This window comes from Homo sapiens, chromosome 10 (assembly GCF_000001405.40).
Source record: "Homo sapiens chromosome 10, GRCh38.p14 Primary Assembly".
In the NCBI taxonomy this organism is placed as follows: Eukaryota; Metazoa; Chordata; class Mammalia; order Primates; family Hominidae; genus Homo; species Homo sapiens.
In genome coordinates, this window is record NC_000010.11 from 106,640,080 (window position 1) to 106,648,846 (window position 8,767).

Below are 8,767 nucleotides of genomic sequence, written 5' to 3' on the forward strand. Positions count from 1 at the left end.
GCCACCACTAAAGGCTCCAAATAGCCTTTTCTCCAGATGAAAAAGCAGGTCAAATTGTGTCATGAATTCAGACAAGTGAGTATCTTGAAGAAATTTTTATCAACAGCCATCTTCTCTACCATCTGATGGCTGACAGCATCCTGCAATACTTATGAAGTGTTATTACACTGTGGGTACTTTAGTGCTCCCATAAGTCTTTCAATGTATGTGAAATTACGGATCATTGAAACCTGTCTAATGAGGACACAGTCCTCATGTTTTGGAGTTAAATCTCACAAAAGTGATAATCATGAATTTTCCTTATTAAGTTTCAGTCTTTGTATGTAAATTGAAGTATTAAGACAATGAGATACAGATCAAAGTTTTAATTTTCGTCCCTAGCCTCAGATTTAATTTAAAAGTCTTAAATTATGCAGAGAATTGCATCTCTTTATTCTTACAGCTGCTTAAAACAGATTTAATTATCTTCCTTAATATGCAGATACTACTTCTGCCTACCAGTTCTCTCAAACGAATGCCTCCCAAATCAGTTTTGTTGAGTTCTTCAGACTGATTGGGGCCTTTGCCATTTATCCTGTGCCTTCAGGTTCTTGCATTGGATTTCTCTGGGAAGCTGAGTTATTGTGTTGAAAGTCTATAGGCTCATTAGGTTCTCATTAGTGGTCCAGAGGACATCCATCTTGAGTGAGTCTCCAAGCACAGAGATGCCACCTCTCACTGCATGCTTGGGTCTCAGTGCAAAACACCTTCAATCAGCTTTCTAAAAGTCAGGCATGGTTTGAAAATGTCCGGCATCTTAGACTCAACTTTATGGACTTCTCTACTCCTCTTCCAGTTGGTTCTTGGATTAATTGTTCTTTATTTTTAAGGCCATAATGATGCATAAATGCATTGTGTGTGCTTGTGTGCGCGTGCATGTGTGTTCTTCTTGCATCTGCCACAGTGAGTCTGGGATGGAAGTACGACTGCTCCTTTGCCTTCTGCTGCTAATGAAGGTTCTGTCATGAGAGTACACTTGGAGAGAACCCTAAAAGCAGCAGGAAATGAGGCAGGTGGTATTGATGACATTGGAATTTTTCATCAACCTCAGAATAGCTATGTGGCTCTCTGAGTAACATATCAGGTGAGCTAAGTTGTGGGATTTTGGAGGAATTGTGTTATGGAGGTATTTCTGTCATCTAGGTTTTGAGGGTGACCCCATATGCTATTTGCAGGAAAGAATCCCATTTCTTGCACATATTAAATCTGTAATTTTCTGGCTTGAGTACATACTACTGTATGTAAAATTGCAAACTAGTATCAGTGTACCTAGCCTTTTATTATTTTCTGTCAATAAGAAGTGCTCCTCTTTGCTACGGTTTTAGCCATGTTTTCATTGATATTCTTATGCTAGAATTAGGACATGCATTCTAATGCATGTCTAGGAAAGGATTAAGGAAGAGATTTAGATTTCAGATGAAGACTTTACCATGTTTTGACTGTTTTTCAAATGTTAAGAGTCTTTTAAGTTTCAGTTTTATCTCTATGCTTCTTGGGGAAGGCTATCCAAATCCACATACATTTATTGAGTTTCTATCAATATGTTAGGCACATTGTACAGAGATGTGGGAACTGCAATCAGGAGTGACATGATTCTTACCTTAAAGATATGTATAGTTTACTGGCGGATGCCAAAAATATTATTACAAAATAATGCAATAAATTATTGCATTATAATTTATTATATTTAGATAATTTATTATTAATCTTTTTTATTTCCAATGGATATAAGGTGTTAGGCACTTTCTACTTCATGTCATTAGATTTTTACTTAAAACTCAATATAACAGAGGTCCTAGTCAAACCAAAACATATATTCCCACAAACTAAAGTAAGTCCATTAATGAATGAAAAGTACATGATATAAAATTGGCTCTTGGTAAAATATTTGTCAAAGAACAAATAAATAAATACAAACATCTAACTATTTGCTGAGACAGTTGATTCCTCAGGTCTCTAATGGTTTAGATGAAATGCAGAGGAGATGGAAATTACATGGAGAGGTTTGTATGCAAGTAACTGGGACAAAGAAAAGAGGCTTAGATCAGTCCGTAAGCCAACCTAGCTCCATCGAAGGAAGACAAGACTGTAGGAGAAAGTTGAACCATGAGTTAACATGGATAGAGGCACAAGCTCTGGTACTCACATGAAAAAAATATTGTTAACAACTTGGGGAGGTGAATCTTTTGCCCTCTCTGCATTAATCACACTGTGATGTCATATAAGAACCTAGCAGGGACCTCTAGGTTTCTTTGGTACCTAGAGGACTTGCTCTTTACAGGCATCAGAAGCATGATCTTTTGACATCAGAAGATCCCTGTTTTTATAAAGAATTGATATCAGAAATGGGGCAAGACTCAGGCACTATTTTCAAAGTAAATTCAGAAGGATCAAATTCAAATAAGAAATGCACTCATATGGATTTTGAGGAGAATAAAGACACCATGTATTGCTAGTAGGGGCACATGCCAGGGATTTTTTGTCTTTGTTTTGGATTTAATTAAAAAATATTATGGCTTAATTTATACCCAAGCCTCTGAAGAAATACACGTATTCTAAATTCCTTGGGTGCTGCATTCATATCCTATGTTTTTGCAATATTCTTTAGAATAGATAAACAGTGTCAGGCACACTAGGCATTCAACAAAGGCATCATTTTCCAAAGAGGGGGAACCCAGAGAGGATTTCGCATCTCTCTTTGCTGAAATGTTTTTCCACAAATGGATCCCAAGCCATTAGTATTCTCAGAGAAGCCAGGAGGAAAATTTTGGTAGATTTATTGATTAGTGTCTAAGAATATAAGAGCCACAGGCCAAACTGGCTTTGGTCATTGATGATTTGGCCTTTTCTTTCTACTCCTTGATCTTTGTGACTACTTATAATCCCAGCCGTGGGTTTCTACAGAGGCTTAGGAGCTACATGAAGTTCTTCTTAGAAAATGGTTCCTTCACCATAGAGAGAAGCAACAGAAAGACAAGATACCATAGATCCTGGATTAGACCCTAGGCTCTAATAGTTAGCATTTGTGTGATCTCAGGTAAGTTACTTGCCTTTCTGTGCCTCATATAAAATGACAACAAAATGACAATAACACCTATTTGCATAGAGTTGCTGTAAGATCTACGTGAGATAATTCATGAAAAGCACTCACAAACTGGAACAGTGGTGCTCAATAAATGTTGGATAATCACATTATTATCATTGTGTCAAGTGTCAATTCTCCTCAGCTTTTCAGAGACACTCTGTGTCTCTTCATTCTGCATTGCCAATCACGTGCACCTCCCGTGCCTACGTATATAATCCAGAGGGTCATAGAGAAATTGAGGGTCTTTTTCTGCAAGGAGGAGTCTGAATCATTAGCACAGCATCTCACAATCACATGTGAGGTCCTCAGGGCCTCCTGATATAAAGAAGATGCTCTTGGCTTGGTGCTCTGCACCAGGAGAACAGAGTGTCAAGAAACCAGATCTGACAGCTGGAGGCAGCAGATTTCATCCCTGCTGTTGAAGCTTTGCCCACTCAAGTGGAGTGAACTGACTTGTTATCTTTTTTCCTTCTTGTGCCCAGAAGGCATGAATTCACATATCTTCGAACCAGATTCCCCAATCTGTTCCCACATCACTCAACCCAGTGTGAGATGCCTGATGATGATCTTTATTACATGGAAAGCAGAGTTGAACAGATGAGAACCAGGCCTCTGTCCCTGAAGTGTGTTCTCTATCATTTGCACAAAGGTTGGAGCTAATCAGAAGTGAAAGTTCTTGTTTCAGATCTTGCTATATTGTGTTCTTAGAAACGGAAAAACTTTCTGAACTCTGCTATAGTATAAACATCTGCTGCTTCAAAAGATGACAGTTCTCTGGGTATCAGGATCAGGTGTCTCATGTCTCTGGGAAGAGAACTTTCACATTCACCTTGCAGGTAAACACAGGGTGGAAGGTCGGCCCTAAGCATACCAGAAAGGTTTTTCTTATTTTTCCTTTTTTTGCCCAAATACCTAGATATAAAGTACTATATTTTATATGGATTTCTGAAATGATTTTTAAGTAAGCTTTTTGTTGAGTAAAATATACATTAAAAATGTACAAATCACTAAATATACAACTTGATTTTTACAAAGTGAATGCATCCATTAGCTGCTGCCCAGATGAACCAACTGAAAACTGCCAGTACACTCAAAGTTCTCCAATCACTCCGCCTCCAAAGTTAACAATAATTTTTCCCTTCTATTACCATGAATAATAATAATAATTATTATTATTATTGAGACGGAGTCTAGCTCTTGTCACCCAGGCTGGGGTGCAGTAGTGTGATCTCAGCTCACTGCAACCTCCGCCTCCCAGGTTCAAGCAATTCTCCTGCCTCAACCTCCCAAGTAGCTGGGATTACAGGTGCCCACCACCACGCCCAGCTAATTTCTGTATTTTTAGTAGAGACGGGGTTTCACTGTGATGGCTAGGCTGGTCTCAAACTCCTGACCTTGTGTTCTGCCCGCCTTGGCCTCCCAAAGTGCCAGGATTACAAGTGTGAGCCACCACACCCGGCCACCATGAATTATTAACAGCTTTGACTATTTTTGCATTTTAATTAAATGGAATAATGCAACATATATTCTTTTTAGTCTGACTTCTTTAGCTCAATAATGGATATGACATTTATCCAAGTTTTTTGCATATAGCTTTAGTTTGCTCTTTTTCATTGCTGTATGACATTCCATTCTGTAAATATACTGTAGTTTATGTATTCTACTATTCATGAATGTTTAGATTGTTTCCAGTGAGGGCTCTTACGAATACTTTTGCAATGCATATTATCTTACATACATTCTGGTGCATATGTGTATGCATTTCTGATGAGTATATACTTAAAAGTGGAAACGCTGGGACATAGGTGGTATACATGTTCAGCTAGAGCAGTTAATGTCAAACAAGTCCCAAATGGCAGTATGTATCTACACTCCAAATAGCATTATATGAATGACCAGATGCTCCACATACTCAATAACACCTGATATTATTAGCATTTTTTTTTTTTTGAGAGGGTGTCTTATTATTTTTTTTTTTTTTTTGAGAGGGAGTCTCACTTTGTCAACCAGGCTGGAGTGTAGTAGTGCAATCTCAGCTCACTGCAACCTTCACCTCCTAGGTTCAGGCGATTCTCCTGCCTCAGCTTCCCAAGTAGCTGGGACTACGGGCACGTGCCACCATGCCCAGCTCATTTTGTTTGTAGCTGTTTTTTGTTTGTTTGTATTTTTAGTAGAGATGGGGTTTCGCCATGTTGGCCAGGCTGGTCTTGAACTCCTGACTTCAAGTGATCTGCCCACCTTGGCCTCCCAAAGTGCTGGGATTACAGGTGTAAGCCACTGCACCCAGCCTATTATTAGTCTTTTAAAATGTAAACCTTCTGATGGTGCACAGTGATATATTATTATAAATTAAGTTGCATTACATAGGGATGTTCCGAATTTTTTCATATGCTTATTGGCTATTTGGTTATTCTGAGTCATTTGTGCATTTTCTGTTGAGTTACCAGTGTTTCCCTTATTAGTTTGTAGAATTTATTTATACTCTTCTAATTATGATTCCCTCATTAAAATTATGTTTATTTTGCATAATAAAAATAATAAAAAACATAACAAAATAATTTTATTATTTTATTACTGTAATAATACCTTTTCAATAAGGTATTATTACAAATACTTTTTTCCCTCTAGGGCTTAATTTAATAATAATAGCTTATTGAAAACGTATTATTATAGATACCTTTCTCCCCTCTAGGACTTAATTTTTTATTTTTGAAATAATGCCTTAAATAACAGAAATTCTTAATTTTAATGTAGTCCTATTTAAAATTAGTATAATTAGGCTGGGCGTGGTAGCTCACGCTTGTAAATCCCAGCACTTTGAGAGGCTTAGGTGGGCAGATCACTTGAGGTCACGAGTTCAAGACCAGCCTGACCAACATGGTGAAACCTTGTCTCTACTAAAAATACAAAAATTAGCTGGGTGTGGTAGCTGGCACCTGTAATCCCAGCTACTCAGGAGGGTGAGGCAGGAGAATCGCTTAAACCTGGGAGGCGGCCAAGATCATGCCACTTGCACTTCAGTCTGGGTGACAAAGGTAGACTCCATCTCAAAAAAATAAAAATAAAAATAAAATTAGTATAATTATAAAGAGATTTGTTGGTATAATTCCTTTATACTAAATGGGTTTTCTTTGCTGTTTTAAAAAAGTCTTTGCATAACACAAGGTCATGAAGATACTCTTCTGTGCTTTCTTTTAGAAATGTTAGTATTGTTGGGCACGGTGGCTCACGCTTGTTATCCCAGCACTTTGGGAGGCCAAGGTGGGAGGATCACTTGAGTTTAGGAGTTCGAGACGAGCCTGACCAACATGGTGAGACCCCGTCTCTACTAAAAATACAAAAATTAGCTGGGTGTGGTGGCATGCCCCTGTAGTTCCAGCTACTCGGGAGACTGAGGCAGGAGAATCGCTTGACCCCAGGAGGCAGAGGTTGCGGTTGAGCTGAGATCTTGCCACTGCACTCCAGCCTGGGCGACAGAGTGAGACTCAAAAAAAATAAATAAATACATAAATGTTAGTATTAGCTTTCAAATTTTGATTGACAATCCAGTTATAATTATGTTTGTATATTATGTGAGATAAAGATTCATGTATTCCCATATGGATATTCAAAATTGTAGCACCCATGTATTGAAAAGATTATAATTTCTCCACTGTACTGCAGTGTCTCATTTGTCATAAAGTGGGTGGGTGTGTGTCTATATATATATAATATATGCATGTATATATGTTTCTTGACTCTCCTTGTTCAGCTTGTTTATGATATACATACATATATATGTATATATATGTGTGTTTGTATGTGTATATATATATATATATATATATATATATATATATGGTAATGTCAGTCATCCAAATTTGTGAGTCACCTTCAAAAGTATCTTTGCTATTCTTCAGGTCTTGAAATTTTGTGTAAATTTTGTGATCTTGTCAATTTTAATACACAAAACATGCTGGAGATTTTTATTCAGATTGCTTTTAATTCAAGTCAATATGAAGAAAATTGATGTCTTTTTATAATACTGAGTCTTCCAATCCATGATCAGGATGCATCCCTCCATTCATTCAGGTATTTTTCAAAATTTATTTCCAAATTTGTGTTGTTTTCTGGGTAGTGCTATTGAAAATAAGTTTTTAGATTTGAGTATAAATGTTTGTTGTATTTTGATGCTATTATAAATTTTACACACACACACACACACACACACACAATTTTCTACTTGTGTAGAGGATTTATATGTCCAGGTATCAAGACTCACCCTAACTCTAGTGAAAATATCATGTGTTTGAAATTAGTAATTAAGATAGGTTTTAAATTCACAAGGGAACAGAATAGAGTGCCTAGAAATGGAACCACAAATAGTCAATTGATTTATGACAAAGGCTCATAGCAATTCAGCGTGAAATGAACAGTTTTTCAATGGTATTGGGACAATTGGATATGCATGTGGATGAAATATAGAAACCTGAAAGAGCTTTATTCAAGATAAATCATACACATTAATGTGAAACCTAAAGAGAAATCTTGTGGTATGACTTTTTTCACAATGTTGGTTTAGATAAAGACTTCTTAAGCCTGACAAAAAGCACTGAAGTGACAAAAATCACTAATTTTCAAAATATAATTACTGATATTTGAGTATATATCTACCGTTTTTTAATTTTAATTTTAATGTGTTTGAGACAGGGTCTCGCTCTGTCAGCCAGGCTGGAGTGCTGTGGCGCAATTATGGTTGACTGTAGCTTTGAACTCCTGTGCTCAAGTGATTCTCTCACCTTAGCCTCCCAAGTAGCTGGGACCACAGACACACGACACCACGCCTGGCTATTTTTTTTAATTATTTTTATTTTTTTGGTAGTTGTCCAAGCTGGTCTCAAACTCCTGGACTCAAATGATCCTCCCACCTTGGCCTCCCAAAATGTTGGGATCCACCGCACCATTCCTATATCTACCATTTTAGTATTTGTTTTCTATTTGTCTCAACTGTATTATATTCTTTTTTTTCTCTTTTACTTGTCTTACTTTGGATTAATGAAACCCTTTTAAAGTTACTGTAATTCCCCTGTCAGTAGCTTGATGATAAGATTCTCTTACTACTTCTTCAGTTGTTACTCTAGATATTGAAGCACACATTTTGGATACGTTGGAGTCTAATATATATTAGTATTTTTATCTCTTTATAGATATATCATGAACCTTAAACTACTTTAACTCCACTTAATTCGCTCCACATACTGTGCTATTATTCTGATGTATTTTAATGCTACATATATTTTAAATCCCACAGCTGATTATCATTCTTGGTCTGCACAGTTATTATTAATTTCAATTTACCCCCTTTCTTGCTCTTCATTCCTTCTATTATTTTGTGTGTGTGTCTCTGTCTGGGTCATTTTCTTTATGTGTGAAGAATTATTTTTAGCATTTCTTTTTATAGACATTGGTTTACATGACAGATATTGCTATGGAAGGAAGTGCTGGAAAGGGAAGGGAATGGTCCCTTTAAATGATACAGAAGTGGGGGAAGGGCGTTGGTCCCTGGCTAGGGCTCCACCCCTGGGCCCCTGCCCTGGGACCTAGGTGAGAACAGGCCCTCCTGCCTTTGCACCCAAATGTTGTGTTTCCCAAGACCACCCTAGC

General features: G+C 37.2%; 1 protein-coding gene across 17 annotated transcripts in view; it reads right to left on the reverse strand.

Annotated features, from left to right (window-relative positions):
* Nucleotides 1–8,767, reverse strand: part of SORCS1 (sortilin related VPS10 domain containing receptor 1) — a 607,476-nt gene that overhangs the window by 66,417 nt on the left and 532,292 nt on the right. The gene's annotated exons all lie outside the window — the stretch shown is intronic.